At 42.7% G+C, this 17,431-nt stretch overlaps 2 protein-coding genes across 19 annotated transcripts in view, besides 5 other annotated features; one reads left to right on the top strand and one right to left on the bottom strand.

Annotated features, from left to right (window-relative positions):
* IARS2 (isoleucyl-tRNA synthetase 2, mitochondrial) overlaps nucleotides 1-6,541 on the bottom strand; it is a 53,910-nt gene extending 47,369 nt beyond the window's left edge. The window contains exons 1-3 of the mRNA NM_018060.4: nucleotides 6,190-6,541; nucleotides 4,447-4,569; nucleotides 24-183 (exon numbers count right to left, since the gene is read on the bottom strand). Coding sequence (NP_060530.3) covers nucleotides 24-183; nucleotides 4,447-4,569; nucleotides 6,190-6,456 — 550 coding nt within the window. The 5' untranslated portion in view covers nucleotides 6,457-6,541. The remainder of the gene's footprint in view (nucleotides 1-23; nucleotides 184-4,446; nucleotides 4,570-6,189) is intronic.
* Nucleotides 5,813-6,312: an enhancer, noted in NCBI's record as "H3K27ac hESC enhancer chr1:220267703-220268202 (GRCh37/hg19 assembly coordinates)". NCBI's record gives its function as "activates a minimal SCP1, AML or CMV promoter by ChIP-STARR-seq in naive H9 embryonic stem cells {active_cell/tissue: H9 hESC(naive)}" and the evidence as "EXISTENCE:reporter gene assay evidence [ECO:0000049][PMID:30033119]".
* Nucleotides 6,322-6,651: a silencer, noted in NCBI's record as "silent region_1823". NCBI's record gives its function as "represses an Ori minimal core promoter by ATAC-STARR-seq in GM12878 lymphoblastoid cells {active_cell/tissue: GM12878}" and the evidence as "EXISTENCE:reporter gene assay evidence [ECO:0000049][PMID:35858748]".
* Nucleotides 6,672-6,751: a silencer, noted in NCBI's record as "silent region_1822". NCBI's record gives its function as "represses an Ori minimal core promoter by ATAC-STARR-seq in GM12878 lymphoblastoid cells {active_cell/tissue: GM12878}" and the evidence as "EXISTENCE:reporter gene assay evidence [ECO:0000049][PMID:35858748]".
* Nucleotides 10,585-10,774: an enhancer, noted in NCBI's record as "active region_2554". NCBI's record gives its function as "activates an Ori minimal core promoter by ATAC-STARR-seq in GM12878 lymphoblastoid cells {active_cell/tissue: GM12878}" and the evidence as "EXISTENCE:reporter gene assay evidence [ECO:0000049][PMID:35858748]".
* The window catches only part of BPNT1 (3'(2'), 5'-bisphosphate nucleotidase 1), a 32,307-nt gene continuing 25,760 nt past the window's right edge, over nucleotides 10,885-17,431 (top strand). For 11 of the 18 annotated variants that reach the window (NM_001286149.2, XM_011509063.3, XM_047429573.1 and 8 more), the window contains exon 1: nucleotides 10,885-10,987. The gene's annotated coding sequence lies outside the window, so the exon portion shown is untranslated. Of the gene's footprint in view, nucleotides 11,030-17,431 lie in introns of all 18 variants that reach the window. The other 7 variants (NM_001286151.2, XM_017000043.2, XM_047429467.1 and 4 more) reach the window with 1 other exon arrangement.
* Nucleotides 14,117-14,236: an enhancer, noted in NCBI's record as "active region_2553". NCBI's record gives its function as "activates an Ori minimal core promoter by ATAC-STARR-seq in GM12878 lymphoblastoid cells {active_cell/tissue: GM12878}" and the evidence as "EXISTENCE:reporter gene assay evidence [ECO:0000049][PMID:35858748]".

Below are 17,431 nucleotides of genomic sequence, written 5' to 3'. Positions count from 1 at the left end.
AAACAGAAATACAGATTATTTACCTTTCTTTCTAATTTCCATAGCTGAAAGATTCTGAGCTTCTCTACCAAGTTCTGATAATACTTTTATTTCAATGGGCAACCCATGACAATCCCAGCCGGGCACAAAATGTATTTTGGAGCCATTCATCATATGGAATCGATTGGCTATGTCTTTCAAAATCTGCAAAGATAAAATGATAATTATCATTCATACATAAAATATTTGGCCATGTATTTCAAAATCTGCAAAGATAAAATGATAATTAGCATTCATACATAAAATATTTGGCCTACAATTTATGTTCTTTTTTTTAAACTTAATACCATTTTTAAAACTGCAATTTGAAAGGAAACGTATAAATTAACTCATAAAAAAACTATTGACACAAATAGTCTAATATTATTTATATTGAGCTAAGAAATATCATCAAACCATTGCAGAACTTACAGTGTACTCAGAGAATGGAATATTGTGGTTAACTCTGTCATTGACAAACCCTTACTAAAACAGTAGACCTCTTCATTAGGTATAGTTCTAGAACCAATTTACCTTTTTAAATTCATTTTAGATACCAGAGGGCAGCAGAGCCTTTTAAAAAATATATTACTATAGTTGAATGGAGGAATCAAAGGCAAAGGATAGATTTGGCTCCAAGCTCAATTTCCTTCTTCCCAAGAGGAAACAGTGCTCTGACCACTAGCCCAGTAGTCCAGAAAACAATTTCCTCCTTTCCATGCCTATCAAAAGTAGAAAAGATATTATTATATTCTCCTCCCATCCCTTCCCCCCTTTAAAAACTCTAATTTCAAACTGTTTACTAATGAACAGGAAGGAGCCTTGTGATCTGAGTGGTTGTCACATTAAAAAAAATTCATCTAGCTATACATACTTAAGATTGGTTCACTTTACTCTGGGTATATTATTTAAATCAATCATCATATAAATAACCTCCTTTCTACTTAACTCTTTGGAAATTGTTTACTTATTTTTTTGTCTCTTCCCTGTAAAACATAAACTCCATGAAATCAGAGAGCCCATCTGTCCTCTTCACCTATGAATTCCAGCCTTTCGAATGGTTTCTGGCACTAGTCTATAAATATTTATCAAATACATGAATACATGGATGCATATATGCTCTAAACAATGGTATCTTATATAGTAGCCACTGGCCACATGTGATTTTTGGTGCTAGTCCGAATTCAGATGTAATGTAAATTATAAAATATATACCTGATTTCAAACATGTTTTACGAAAATGTGATATATCTCAAAAATGTTTTACATCGACTGTATGTTGAAATGATACTTTAGATATGTTGAGTTAAATGTAATATTAAAATTAATTTCACTTGTTTCTTTTCATTATTTTCTGGGGCCACTAGAAAAATTTTAACTTACCTATGTGGCACAAATTTATAGCTTGCATTATATTTATTTCTTTTTTTTTTTTTTTTTTTTGAGACGGAGTCTCGCTCTGTCGCCCAAGCTGGAGAACAGTGGTACAATCTCGGCTCACTGCAACCTCTGCCTCCCAGGTTCAAGTGATTCTCCTGCCTCAGCCTCCTAAGTAGCTGGATTACAGGCACATGCCACCATGCCCAGCTAATTTTTTTGTATTTTCAGTAGAGAGGGGGTTTTACCATGTTGGTCAGGCTGGTCTCGAACTCCTGACCTGATGATCTGCCCGCCTCAGCCTCCCAAAGTGCTGGGATTACAGGCCAGACCCACCACGCCCAGCCGCTTGCATTGTATTTCTACTGAATAGTGTTGCTTTCAGTCATATGAACAGGATGAAATCAATCACTGGAACTAATAATTAACAGTGTACCTAATAAGGATTCTTAAATGTAATAATAAAATATAATATATGAAGCCTCTAGTGAAAAGAATAGTAGCAATATCATAGGAATATTTTACTAACTCCTCAGTATCAAACACCACCCTCCTTCTCCCCAAAAAAAGTTCCTCCATACTTTTAAGAGTCATTTATCTCTGTTCCTTTCATTTTTCTAATATTCATGCATTGCTTTGTTTGAGGGATAAATATCTGAATGCCTACTGTATGTCAAGAATTTTTCTAGGAACCTAGAATATAGTAGTAAACAAAAACGACAAGGTCTTTTTTCTCATGGAGGAACACAGAATATATACCAACATATCACACACTATGGAGAAAAAAGCAAATTATAGGGTTAGAAAATGACATTTAGGGGCTGGGGGTGGTACCATTTTAGAGGGAAGTCAAGAGAGCCTGGTAAGATGACATTTGAACAGAATCTGAAAGAAATGAGGAGGTGATCCATGTGAATATTCTGGTGATGCATTCTAGGAAGAGGAGAAAGCAAGCAAGACTATAATTAGCATGTGTGAGGAAGAGCAAGAATTGGTCCTTCCCTAGTTCCAAAGTGCCCATGCTCTTTGCTAAGGGCTTCAAGAAGGTTTCTCTTCATGTGAGAGATAGTTTTGTAAGATGCCACTGTTTTGGCCGGGTGCAGTGGCTCACGCCTGTAATCCCAGCACTTTGGGAGGCCGAGGCGGGTGGATCATGAGGTCAGGAGATGGAGACCATCCTGGCTAACATGGTGAAACCACGTCTCTACTAAAAAATAATACTAATAATACAAAAAATTAGCTGGGCATGGTGGCAGGCACCTGTGGTCCCAGCTACTCGGGAGACTGAGGCAGGAGAATGGCGTGAACCCGGGAGACGGAGCTTGCAGTGAGCCGAGACTGCGCCACTGCACTCCAGCCTGGGTGACAGCGTGAGACTCTGTCTCAAAGAACAACAACAACAAAAGATGCCACTGTTTTTTATGGAATTATTCCTTTGTCCTCAATCCACATGGAGCTGGCTCCCTCTGCTGCAGCTCCAAGAGTGAACACGTGATCCACTGTAGCCATTAACATATTCTATCCCCAAGTCTGCAATGACTGATTCAGAAATAGATGTGCGACCCAAATCAGGCCAATGAGATTCAATTCCAGGACTTTTATAAGAATTATTGGGGGCCAGACGTGGTGGCTCACGCCTGTAATCCCAGCACTTTGGGAGGCAGAGGCGGGCAGATCACGAGGTCAGGAGATCGAGACCATCCTGGCTAACACAGTGAAACCCCCTCTCTACTAAAAATACAAAAAATTAGCCGGGCGTGGTGGCAGGCGCCTGTAGTCCCATCTACTTGGGAGGCTGAGGCAGGAGAATCGCTTGAACCCGGGAAGCGGAGATTGCAGTGAGCCAAGATTGCACCACTGCACTCCAGTCCGGGCGACAGTACAAGACTCTGTCTCAAAAAAAAAAAAAAAAGAAAAAAGAACTGTTGGGAAAGAGAAGGTGGAATTATGTAAGCCTGAAACTACTGGGAAATGTGCTGGGGGTCTGGGGTGGGGCAGTCACTAAAGTAGCAAAGAGTGAGAGACAGAAACCAATTCTTAATTTTATGTGAATTCCTGATCCAGCTATGCAGGTGGCTAAAACTATCTGGACTCTACAGTAAAAAAGCCAGTAAATTCTCTCTCTTTGCTTAATCCAGTTAATGTTGGCTCTTCCATTCCTTGCAAAAGGGTTTGAAATAATAGAGTTTTATTCTGTATTTATATCACAAAACATGATTTTTTTTTTTTTTTGAGACGGAATCTTGCTCTGTTGCCCAGGCTGGAGTGCAGTGGCGCGATCTCGGCTCACTGCAAGCTCCGCCTCCCGGGTTCACGGCATTCTCCTGCCTCAGCCTCCCGAGTAGCTGGGACTATAGGCTCCCGCCACCATGCGTGGCTAATTTTTTGTATTTTTAGTAGAGACGGGGTTTCACCGTGTTAGCCAGGATGGTCTCGATCTCCTGACCTCGTGATCCGCTTGCCTCGGCCTCCCAAAGGGCTGGGATTACAGGCGTGAGCCACTGCGCCTGGTCTCTTTAATAGCACTATTGACCCATTCAGTGACCAAATTCCTGGTTTTGAAACTACAGATGCCTAAGCCCACTTCCTCCCCAAAATTTCCACTGAAATCTACAAAAAATAAAGAACTGAAAAATGAGTGAACAGATTGTAGTATTAACATATTCTCTCAATGAAATTCTACTAAGCATTTTAAAAATAATGAATTATTGATATCTGTGGGCCAAGCACTGATTACAGGCATGAGCCATACTGCCCGGCCAAGACATACCTTTTTTTTGTCCACTGCTATTCCCAGATTCTAGAACAATGCCTCGCCCGATAATTATGCACTGAATAAGATGATGTTTACTAATATAACGTTAAGCTCAAAGCAAATAGCAGCAATTTTTTTTATGCAGTACTAAAATTGTATATTGCTTTCTATGAAAATGTTTTAGTTTTATGTGCAAATCTAAATTTACATAATTATCATATAATTAGAATACACATTTATAAAGAGTATTTACATAAACACTTTCTTTCAAGTGTCATAACCTAAATTATAGTTACCTTATTTAAAGCATGTCCAACATGAGGGTCACCGTTTGCATAAGGAGGTCCATCATGAAGGCAAAATTCTGTCTTTACTTTTCTTTCTCTTTGCCATGAATAAAGTTCTGAAAATCCACATTTCTGTTTTAAAAAAAAAAAAGATATCTAAACATCATATAAATACATACTCCTGAGTCTAACCATAAATAACAGCCAACACTTGCTTATTTCCATTCCAATTACATTCCAATCTATTCCATTCCAATCTACTCAACTCTGAAATACAAGGTGAGGTTTCTGAAATGCGTGTCAAAGTACGCATCTCTTAAAATCTTTCAGTAATGTCCCCATACACCTCAGATTGAAGTCTAAACTCTTTATATGATATGCAGCACCCTACAAAGGTTTAGTGCCACTAAGTTCTCGGGCATTCTTTCATCACTCCCCATGCTTCACTCCTCACCCCCGACATGTTGAAGGACCTGCAGATTCCCGACACACATATTCTTGCTATTCTTTGGCGGCAATGCTTGCCATTCCCCAAATCTGGGAACAACATGCATGGCAGTCTAAGTCACTTCCCTTCCCTCACTTGCTGTATGATTTTGTCCAGGTTACTGTGCACTTACGGGCCTGCTTTCTTATCTGAAAAAAAAAAGTGTTAATATCCATCTTACAGGGCTGGTGTGAAGATTAAACGAGGAAACATTTGAAACTGTCACTCTTTCTGGCATACAGAAGGTATTGACTAAAAAACCTTTAAAAAATTAGATGAACTCTTATAACTGTCAGAATATTTAGGCTAAGTATATTTACTTAACCAATATTCCAAGAATATCAGGGATTTTTAAAGACTAGAATTACAGAAGCTAAAGAGGAATCTCTGCTCTTAGAAAGTTCAGACTAGGCTGGGCGTAGTGGCTCAGGCCTGTAATCCCAGCACTTTGGGAGGCCGAGGCGGGAAGATCACTTGAGGTCAGGAGTTAGAGACCACCCTGGCCAACATGGTGAAACTCCATCTCTACTAAAAATATAAAAATTAGCCGGGCGTGGTGGTGCGCACCTGTAATCCCAGCAACTGGGGAGGCTAAGGCAGGAGAATTGCCTGAGCCTGGGAGGCGGAAGTTGTAGTGAGCTGAGATCGCGCCATTGCACTCCAGCCTGGGCGACTTCAAACGAGTCATAATTCCAACTAGGGATCTAAAAGATCCAAGAAGTGGGCTTCAACTTCCCCTTCATTCATCATAATTGAGGTTTTTAAGGTTTTTTTTAAGGACGGGGGGGTGGGGGTGACTAGCCAATATGGTCTCGAACTCTTGGCTCAAGCGATTCTCCCGCCTTGGCCTTTCAAAGTTCTGGGATTACAGGCGTGAGCCACTGCGCCCAGCCTGGGTTTTTATTTACATGTGGACATGTGAATTTACTTTTTACAAGGCATTGGAAAAGTGCCCAAAGTCTATCTGTTTTGCCTACGGTAGACATGGGACATACGTGCGATACATGCTGGTAACTGGGCATCGCTAGTGACCCCTTAATGTCCCGCTCCAGAACCTGGTACAAAGGAGGGGCTCATCTAGAGATTTCTTCACTTAGGTTTTCAGCCCACAAAATCTGTGCGAAGCAGACGAATTCCACCAATCTGGTCACACCCCCGCCCACCCGCACCGGCGTGGAGCCTAGAGGTGTGGCGCCTGCGAGCGCCCGGTGCCCGCGGCCGGATCGGGCCTCTCTGGAGGCCCCGCGCCGAGGCGGGGCCCGTACCTGCTGGATCTCCAGCTCCGTGTCCGGCTGCTGGCGGCCCAGCAGCTTCATGGGGAAGCTCGTCTGCGGCAGCAGCACCGTGTCCCGGTATCTGCCACTATTCGAGTTCGGCTGGTGGTTACTGGCCCCGGAGACCGACCGCACCAGAAGCCTCTTCGTCGCCCCTTGCCATCCCGGGCTGCAGGGAAGGCGGGGCGTCCCCCACAAACTTCGGGCAGTGGCCAGGGCGGCCGCGCCCGGCCCGCGAGGGCGCAGCCCCCAACGCATGGTCCGGCAACCCCTGAGAGCGGGGTCCTCCGCTCCCGCCCCAGCTTGAAGGGGCAGGACCCCAGGAAACCAAGGGGAGCCGAGTAAGAGGGCGCACGCGCTCCGGGAGCGGAAGGGGCGGGGAGGGAGCGGCGGGTAGTGGGGGCGGGGCGGTGGGCACCGCCTTCCCGGAGTCCGCGGAGGCTGAGCCACCTCCGGGTCCTCCCTGCAGCCGCCGGGGGGCGGGCTCAGATTCACGGGGGCGGGGAAAGGTGGGGCTCATAGTCCAATCGCTGTGCCCTGCTTTTTAAATATATATATATATATATTTTTTTTTTTTTACTTTAACACAACATAGCTATGATTGTATCACTTTAACATGTAGCCAATAAAAAGTAAGATATTTTACATATTCTCTTCATACGAAGCCTTTGAAATTTGACATGTACTTTGCACATACTGCACATCTCAATCTGGGCTAAACTCATGGCAAGGCCTCAACAGGCACACTTGGGTAATGACTACGACTGTGGGCAGCACAAGTTCAGTGAAAATATTGTAAAATAATAAAATTTCAGCAAATCGAGTTTTAAAGATCTAATTGGCTATTATTAAATATTCCTAAACCTTTCTACAAAATAGAAAGGATCTCTGATGAGCTGTGGGGGCAGGGTGAGGTTTATAGGCAGAAAAGGTTGAAGAAGGCAGAAACAGGGAACGAAAAGCAGACGCCATTTGGCTTAATGGATTTGGCTATCATCTCTCCTGATTTCCTGGAACGCAGACCTTACAAGTAAACAGCCTAGTGCAGGAGCTCAGTCCAAATCAATGACTTCCCATAGATTTTAACAATATTATAAAACAATCTAACCTTTTTTTAAGATTCTCTGAAATCCCTGTTATATCCCACTCATAGAATAGTATGGTATATATAGCAACTTCTGCTCCTGTTTCTGACAGATTCTGCTCTATTTGGTTGTCCAGTTCATAATAGTTCACAATTGTTACCATTTCATTGTTGAGTATACAACTTGGGAATAGCCTTCCTAATCATAAAACACAACATCCAGAACATTTGGTTCACATAAATAAGAAGGACAGATTTTCTACAAGTATGAAAACATATATATACCAAAAAAAGATACCGGAAAGTGAGAAACCAAGTGACAAACAGAAAGCACTCAATGTCAGCCTTTCACCAATCAATGACTCCAGCTCTGTACCTGAATTAATTCACTTAATCTTCAAAACCAGATGAGGTGAAGACACAGCATACCAAAAAAACCTGTGAGATAGGAACTATGAGTATTTCCATTTCACAGCTAAGGAAACTGAGGCACATAGAATTATGTAACTTGCTCAAGATGATACAACTAAGTAGCACAGCTGGAATTCAAACCCAGGCAGTTAGATTCCAGTGTGTGTGCATAGCCACCATGTTATGTTGTCTTTCCTACACTATACTGTGGAAGAAAACATTTGCTACACATTAAAAAATAATAATACACAAAATGCATAAAGAGCTGCTACAGATCAAAAAAACAAATGTAAACAACCCAATTTAAAAAAAAAAAAGGATAAAAGAAGCTGGACACAGTAGCTCATGCCTATAATCCCAGCACCTTAGGAGGCTGAAGTGGAAATATCACTTGAGCCCAGGAGTTTGAGACAACCCTGGGCAACATAGGGAGACCCCTATCTCTGAAATAATTTTTAAAATTAGCTGGATGTAGTGGCATGTGCTTGTGGTCCCAGCTGCTTTGGAGGCTGTGGTGGGAGGATCGCTTTAGCCCAGGAAGTCAAGGCTGCAAGTGGGCCATGATTACACCACTACACTCCTGCCTGGGCAACACAGTGAGAGCCTGTCTCAAAATAATAATAATAAAGCAAAAGAAATGAACAGTCAACTCAGAGACACAGAAGTGGAAACAGCTAATAAACATAAAAAGATCCTCAACTTTAGGAGTCATGGGAATAGACAGTTAAAATACCATTTTCTTTCCAGCAGATTAAAGCAAAAATAAAGAAGTTTGATAACAGGGCTTGGGAGAATGTGTGAAAGTGGACTGCTGATGGTAGTGTTAAATAGGTACTGTCGGCCAGGTGCGGTGGCTCATGCCTATAATCCCAGCACTTCGGGAGGCCAAGGTGGGTGGATCACCAGAGGTCGGGAGTTCAAGACCAGCCTGACCAACATGGAGAAACCCCATCTCTACTAAAAATACAAAATTAGCCGGGTGTGATGGCGCATGCTTGTAGTCCCAGCTACTTGGGAAGCTGAGGCAGGAGATTTCCGAATGGCAATTTAGCAATATCCATCACCATTTAAAATGCGCTTCAGCTGGGCGCGGTGGCTCACGCCTGTAACCACAGCACTTTGGGAGGCTGAGGCAAGTGGATCACCTGAGTTCAGGAGTTCGAGACCAGCCTGGCCAACCTGGCCAACATGGTGAAATCCCGTCTCTACTAAAAATACAAAAAATTAGCCGGGAGTGGTGGCAGGCGCCTGTAATCCCAGCTACTCTGGAGGCTGAGGCAGAAGAATCGCTTGAACTCAGGAGGCACAGGTTGCAGTGAGAAATCAGGCCACTGCACACCAGCCTGGGCGACAGAGCGAGACTCCATCTCCAAAAAATAAAATAAAATGCACTTCATCTTTGACCCACGGTTTCACATCTGGGATCTATCACAGCTATAGTCTTCCAGGAGCACAAAGATATATTTACATAGAAACTCTCCTAACCAACCTCTACATAACTTGCTGAATTCAACTATGCCGTTTTCTCGTAAAACCTATGAGAGGATACAATGAACACTTGGGAGATGGCTACTCTTTAGGATGACTGCAGATTTCTATTCTCACTTGTTGAGCTTACCTTGCATTATGTTTGTCTTTATTTAAGCCATTTGTACTTGTCATGTAATTATACAATTTAATTATAAAAACCAAAGTATGGCCAGGTGCAGTGGCTCATGCCTGTAATCTCAGCACTTTGGGAGGCCGAGGCGGGCGGATCATGAGGTCAGGAGTTCGAGACCAGCCTGGCCAACATGGTGAAACCCCGTCTTTACTAAAAAAAAAAAAAATGCAAAAACTAGCTGGGCTGGGTGGTGTGCGCCTGTAGTCCCAGTTACTCAGGAGGCTGAAGCAGGAGAATAGCTTGAACCCTGGGAGGCAGAGGTTGCAGTGAGCCGAGATCAAGCCATTGCACTCCAGCCTGGGCGACAGAGTAAGACGCCGTCTCAAAAAATATATATATGTATATATGTGTGTGTGTGTGTGTGTGTATATATATATATATATATATATATATATATATATATATGGTTAAAGTAATATAATTTAAGTTATGTATATTTTTCCACTTCCCAAAAAGGGTCTACTTAACTCACAGAGTTATTGTGAAAATCAAATGAAGACGTAAAAGCCTTTTTAAGCTGGGCGCAGTGGCTCACACCTGTAATCCCAGCACTTTGGGAGGCCGAGGTGAGCAGATCACCTGGGGTCAGGAGTTCAAGACCAGCCTGGCCAATATGATGAAACCCCGTCTCTACTTAAAAAACAAACAAAATTAGCCCGGCGTGGTGGCGCGCCTGTAGTCCTAGCTACTTGGGAGGCTAAGGAGGAAGGATCGCTTGAACCCAGGAGGAGGAGGTTGTAGTGAACCTAGACTGCGCCACTGCACTCCAGCCTGGGCGACAGGATGAGACACTGCCCCCTTCCCCAACCACGCCCCCCAGTAAAAGATCCCATCTGTACACAAAAAATATTTTAATTAGCTGGGTGTGGTGGCGCGCACCTCCACCAGTAGTCCCAGCTACACGGAAGGCTGAGGCGGGAGGATGGCTTGAGCCTAGAAGTGGGAAGGCAGCAGTGAGCCGTAATCGACTCTGGGCGACAGAGCAAGCTATCTATCGCTTAAAAAAAAAAAAAAAAAAAAAAAAAAAAAGGTAAGCAAGCATCTTTGACACAATTCTGCATAAAGTTGCTGTGTTATTGCGTGGGGAGTGGGAGGTGGAGGTGTGTGTGGTGGACCTGCTGAAGCCTGTCCACGGACCGCTAGGGGTTCGAAGTTAAATAGCCGCAGAGTGGTATCACTAATACAAAGAACATTTTAAAACAGTGAACTCTACGAAGTGGGCTGGAAGACAGCTGAAACCAAAACCAATCTTTTTTTTGTTTCAACACACTGTTGCTGGCTTAATGTGTTCTTTCCTTCTTCTTTTTCTTTTTTTAGCCAATCTTTGAAAGTTGACACATCTTTCGCTTTTATTTAATGCAACAGGTGACTTGCACCTACGGAGAGCTTGGAGAAAACACGGACAAGTGGAATTTTCCCGCGGATCAGGAGTCTAAAGAGGCAGTGTGAAATCGCTGTTGTGCGCTTGCGCGCAGTTTCCCGCATGCTCAGTAGCTGAGGTAGGGATGCCATCCTTCTCAAAAGACTTATTGACAGTGCCAAAGCTCGGTACTGGACACAACGAGGGACCTGGGTCTACGATAACGCGCTTTTGCTCCTCCTGAAGTGTCTTTGGTCCAACGTTGTTCCAGGTTTGTCACCGTTTCTCTCCGGCCGGTCAGGGCAAGAGCCAGGTAGATAGGATTTATGTTAAAAAAATAAAACGAAAAAGGTTTATGTGAATCAGATTGCTTCTCCAGATATTCTAACTTCCGACTTGGACTCTTGAGTGTCGATATTTTAATTGTTTATCTGTGCTTTTATTTTCGTGATCCGGAAGGTTTTTATAGCCATATACTGTAGAAACAAGACAAACCTAGACATTGAGTTTGTTGATGCACCCAAATTTAGAAACTGCTTGGTACCTAAAATTAAATTTCTTTAAACAGCAAATATTCTTCCAACTGCCATTTCTACATATTTATAGGTTTGCGTGATTTATTTGGATTTCTCTGTAAATATAATTGTTGGTTCAAAAGATACGTACTTTATACTTTTATTAAGGTTCTCAAAACTCTCCTAAGAGGGTTCACCGCTTTGCCAACAATGCTCAGGAACATGTTCCCTCACACCCTTGCAAACTGGACAAAGGACAAACTCTTCTTCTTTCTTCTTTTTTCTTCTTCTTCTTCCTCCTCCTTCCTCCTCCTTCTTTTTTTTTTTTTTTTTTTTTTTTCGAGACGGAGTCTCGCTCTGTCGCCCAGGCTTGAGTGCAGTGGTGCAATCTCGGCTCACTGCAAGCTCCACCTCCCAGGTTCACGCCATTCTCCTGCCTCAGCCTCCCGAGTAGCTGGGACTACAGGCGCCCACCACCAAGCCTGGCTAATTTTTTTTGTATTTTTAGTAGAGACGGGGTTTCACCGTGTTAGTCAGGATGGTTTCGATCTCCTGACCTCGTGATCTGCCCGTCTCGGCCTCCCAAAGTGCTGGGATTACAGGCGTGAGCCACCGCGCCCAGCCTTTCTTTCTTTCTTTTTTTTTTTTTTTTAAGACAGGTTCTAGCTCTGTCCCCCAGGCTGGAGTACAGTGGTGCCATTATGTCTCACTGCAACCTTGACCTCCCAGGGTCTGGTGATTCTCCCACCTCAGCCTCCCGAGCAGCTGGGACTACAGGCATGTGCCACCACACCATCTAATTTTTGCATTTTTTTGTAGAGACGAGGTTTTGCCATGTTGCCCAGGCTGGTCTCGAACTCCTGAGCTCAAGCAATACACCAGCCTTGGCCTCCCAAAAAGTTCTAGGATTACGGGTGTGAGCCACTGCATTCAGCGACAATTTTTTTTTTTTTTTTTTTTTTTGAGTCGGAGTCTCTGTCGCCCAGGCTGGACTGCAGTGGCGCGATCTCGGCTCACCACAACCTCTGCCTCCTATGTTCAAGCAATTTTCCTGCCTCAGCCTCCTGAGTAATTTTTGTATTACTATGCCTGGTTAATTTTTGTATTTTTAGTAGAGATGGGGTTTCACCATGTTGGCCAGGCTAGTCTTGAACTCCTAACTTCAGGTGATTCACCTGCCTTGGCCTCCCAAAGTGCTGGGATTACAGGTGTGAGCCACCGTGCCCTGCCAAATTTTCTTTTCTATGCCAATCTTAAAAATAAACAATCATGGCCCGGCGCGGTGGCTCACGCCTGTAATCCTAGCACTTTGGGAGGCTTAGGCAGGCCATGAGGTCGGAAGTTCGAGACCAGCCTGACCAACATGGAGAAACCCTGTCTCTACTAAAAATACAAAATTAGCCAGGTGTGGAGATGCTTGCCTGTAATCCCAGCTACTCGGGAGGCTGAGGCAGGAGAATCGCTTAAACCCGGGAGGCAGAGGTTGCGGTGAGCCAAGATCTCGCCATTGCACTCCAGCCTGGGCAACAAGAGCAAAAACTCTGTCTCAAAAAATAAATAAATTAATTAATTAATTAAAAATAAAATAATCATTTCTCATTGTTTTAGTTTGCATTTCTTTCATAATTAGTGAAGCTGAGTATTTATGTATTTAATGGCCAGTGCTTTTCTCTTTGTAGGTGTTGCCCGTTCTTGTTTATTTGCTCATTTTTCTATTGGATTATTCAGCTTTTATATACTGATCTTTTACAAATTAAGTCATTTGTCTGGTATGTGATACAATATTTTTTTCTCATTTTGTCAAGTACCTGTTTATTTAGTTTATGGTATTTTGGCCATGTAGAAGTTTTAATTTTATTTTTATTTATTGATTGATTGATTTTGAGACGGAATCTCGCTCTGTCACCCAGGCTGGAGTGCAATGGTGCAAATGATCTCAGCTCACTGCAACTTCTACCTCCCAGGTTCAAGCAATTCTCCTGCCTCAGCCTCCTGAGTAGCTGGGATTACAGGCGCGTGCCACCAAGCCCGGCTAATTTTTGTATTTTTAGTAGAGACAGGGTTTCACCAAGTTGGTCAGGCTGGTCTTGAACTCCTGACCTCGTCATCCGCCCGACTTGGCCTCCCGAAGTGCTGGGATTACAGGCCACCGCGCCCAGCAACTCTTAGTTTTATAGAGTCAAATTTATCAATAGAATATTTTATGGATTCTTGGTTTTATGCTTAAAGGGCATTTACCAAGCTTATGAAGTTTATAATTTTTATTTCCATGCTTTTATGGTTTCTTTTTTTACTTTTATAAACCATGCATTGAAATGTATTTATATCAAAATGTATTTATATCAAAATATCAAAAGAATGCAAAAAGGACTCAACTTTTTTTTTTTTTTTTTTTGAGACGGAGTCTTGCTCTGTCGCCCAGGCTGGAGTGCAGTGGCACCATCTCGGCTCACTGCAACCTCCGCCTCCCAAGTTCGAGCAATTCTCCTGCCTCAGCCTCCCAAGAAGTTGGGGTTACAGGCGCCCGCCAATATGCCCGGCTCATTTTTTTTTTTTTTTAAGTTTAGCAACTCAGGCCGGGCGGAGTGGCTCACACCTGTAATCTCAGCACTTTGGGAGGCAGGCGGATCACAAGGTCAGGAGTTCAAGACTAGCCTGGCCAACATGGTGAAACCCCATCTCTATTAACAGTACAAAAATTAGCCTGGCATGGTGGCTTGTGCCTGTAGTCCCAGCTACTCAAGAGGCTGAGGCAGGAGAATCGGCTGAACCCGGGAGGCGGAGGTTGCAGTGAGCCGTGATCTCGCCACTGCACTCCAGCCTGGACAACAGAGTGAGACTCTGTCTCAGAAAAACTTTAGCAACTCAGACCAGGCATGGTGGCTCATGCCTGTAATCCCAGCACCTTGGGAGGCCGAGGAGGGTGGATCACTTGAGGTCAGGTGTTCGAGACCAGCCTGGCCAATGTGGTGAAACCCCATCTCTACTAAAAATATAAAAAAATTAGCCAGGCGTGGTGATGCGTGCCTGTAGTTCCAGCTACTCAGCCATATGAGGCAGGAGAATCGCTTGAACTCTAGGGGGCGGAAGTTGCAGTGAGCCGATATCAGGCCACCGCACTTTAGCCTGGGCGACAGAGCGAGACTACATATCAAAAAAAAGAAAAAGTATTTAAAAGTTTAGCGACTGCCCTGCCATTTATGCAAAATTGAATTTCCCCCATGATTTGAAACACTACCTTTAGTGTGTTCGGTTCTATTTCTGCAATTTATTTCCTTAGTTTGTCTCACTAGCCAAACTTTTATATCATATGTTGATTAAATCATATTTTATCATATTTTGATAATTGATAAGGGGAGTACCTCTGTTCATAGTTCTTTTTCCAGAATTTGCTCCATTATGCTTACATTTTAATTTTTTCAGATGACCTTGAACATTATCATCAGGCCAAGTTCCAAAATATAAATAATTTTAGTATTTTGACTTGGAACTCATCATTTTTAGATCCTAATCCTCATATGGTCACAATCGTTATATGAGAAGAAACTAATGTTTGATTCCTGTTGTTTTTTTCCATCCTTCTGAACTAGCCCTTTGGCAGTTGTAAAGACTTCTCAAGGATAGGTATTAGGTTGATGGCCTTAAGTGTTATACAGCTTTTTTTCTTGTCTACTCTCCAAGCCTAAAGCTCAGAATGTTATGAAGAAAAGCCTGAACTATACTCTGATTGAGGGTCATGTTGATTATCATTTTGTATTCTCAAGGTCAGAATACTGTTGGAGAAACTACAGGAACTTTTTGCCCTTAACACTGCCCTAATGTCCCTGCAAAATAACCGAAATAAGGACAATCATAATAATGGTTAGCCAGTATTATTTGGTGTTTACCTTGTGCCAGGTAAAGCGCTTTCTTTACACGTGTTACTCATTTAATAATTACAGCAGCCCTATACTATGAGTACTATTGTCTCCATTTTACAGATTGGGGCACAGAGAATTTAAGTGGTTTTCTCAAGGTCCACAGCTGAGCCAGGATTTGAACACAGGTAGTGGGCTGCAGAGCCTGTGCCCTTAAGCACTGTGCTGTTTTAGATTAGGCTTTCAGAAAGACACCTTCACAAGAGTGTTTTAAGGCCCAGAAGATGTAAAACTGGTAGAGAAAGAAGTACAATGGTGTTATTTGAACTGCTTTAAGAAAGTTAACTTGCCTGTAGCTAGTTTGGGCCTTGCTCTTAATCTACCTGTATCATCAAAAGGTAAATCTCACTGTAGTATAGGAGGGAGCATAATGAAAAAGGCTAAAAGGGACCTCTTGTATAGATTTTTTGTTTTGATAATATGACTATGTATTTTTTCTTTTTTTTTTTTTAACCAAGAACCAACATTGTATTCATCTGTTTAAAAAATAGTTAAGAAAACGATTAAGGCTAGGGCATAGTACTATTTCATTACTAATTCAGTTTGGACCAGAGAAGTACTTCAAAGAAGAATGGTAAAAATATTTCCCTATCTGCCAATTAAAAGTGATTTGTGGAATCTCTTTATAAATCATTGTGTGCTTTACATCAACACTATTTTTCCCATTTTTATTGTCTTCTATTTCTTATTTTTCCCATTCTTATGTTTTATAAGCTGATGTTAGCTTTAACTGGTGGTTAATAAATATAATATCATTTTGTGAGGAAATTAGTAGACAGACAATGCCTGAAAGTTTTTCCATGGAAGAAAACACCATGGACTTGGCAAATACAAGGGGAAGTAGTTGAGTCATTTATGAAGCCTGACAAGGGTCAAATGGTTGCTTAACTGGTTCAAAGGTAAATGATATCTATGAAAAGTTATAACAACACCATACAGTGAGGGAAGGTGATCTTCCTATTACAAAAGAATTCTTATATAACATGGGAATTGAAGGAGCATACGAACACATAATTAAAATATGGTCAAGACAGCTGGGTAGAACAAATCAGTTGCCCAAAGACCACATTTCCAGTGCATAATAAATCAGATATATGTCTGGATATGGATATAAAGGAATAGAAATAAGACCAACAAAGTGTTTACTAAATTATTTCTGTTTCCTTTTCTTTTTCTTTTTCTTTTTTTTTTTGAGACAGAGCCTCGCTATGTTGCCCAGGGTGGAGTGTAGTGGCCGCAATCTCAGCTCACTGCAACCTCCACCTCCCGGGTTCATGCCATTCTCCTGCCTCAGCCTCCCGAGTAGCTGGGACTACAGGTGCCCACCACCACGCCCGACTAATTTTTTGTATTTTTAGTAGAGACTGGGTTTCACTGTGTTAGCCAGGATGGTCTCGATCTCCTGACCTCGTGATCCACCCACCTCGGCCTCCCATAGTGCTGGGATTACATGCGTGAGCCACTGCGCCCCGCCCTATTTCTCTGTTTTCTATCTGAAGTGCTCCTGAATTAGTAGTAATTGTAACTGGTTTATTCCACATGTAACTCCTAGTATGCCAAGAAAATTAATCTAGCTTGATTATGATATCATAAAACAAACACATTATATATAGTTATCCCTCCGTATATGAGGGAGGTTGATTCCAGGAACCCCTGAGAATACTTAAATCTGCACATACTCAAGTCCCACAGTTGGCCCTGCAAAACACTCATAGATGAAAACTCAGTTTTAACAGATCACAAACTCTCTTGAAACTAAAATAAAAATATATTTTAAAAAGTCAGGCTTTCCTGTCTACAGATTTTACATACCTTTTCTATCCGCATTTGGTTGGAAAAAATCCACAAAGTGGACCGGTGCAGTTCGAGGCCGTGTTGTTCAAGTGTCAGCTGCACTTAGAAACCCGTTTTATTGGCCGGGCGCGGTGGCTCACACCTGTAATCCCAGCACTTTGCGAGGCCGAGGCGAGTGGATCATGAGGTTAGATCGAGACCATCCTGGCTAACATGGTGAAACCCCATCTGTACTAAAACTACAAAAAATTAGCCGGGCGCAGTGGCGGGTGCCTGTAGTCCCAGCTACTCGGGAGGCTGAAGCAGGATAATGGTGTGAACCCGGGAGACGGAGTTTGTAGTGAGCCGAGATCGCGCCAGCCTGGGCGATAGAGCGAGACTCCATCTCAAAAAAAAAAAAGAGAAACCCGTTTAATTTTCATCTTAATTTCCAGACAGCTATTGGTCACAGTACGGTATTCATTACCTTACATAAATTTCTTTTTTTTT

This window comes from Homo sapiens, chromosome 1 (assembly GCF_000001405.40).
Source record: "Homo sapiens chromosome 1, GRCh38.p14 Primary Assembly".
Taxonomy (NCBI): domain Eukaryota; kingdom Metazoa; phylum Chordata; class Mammalia; order Primates; family Hominidae; genus Homo; species Homo sapiens.
The sequence above is the reverse complement of the archived record's forward strand: the minus strand, read 5'-3'. Positions and strand labels throughout refer to the sequence as shown.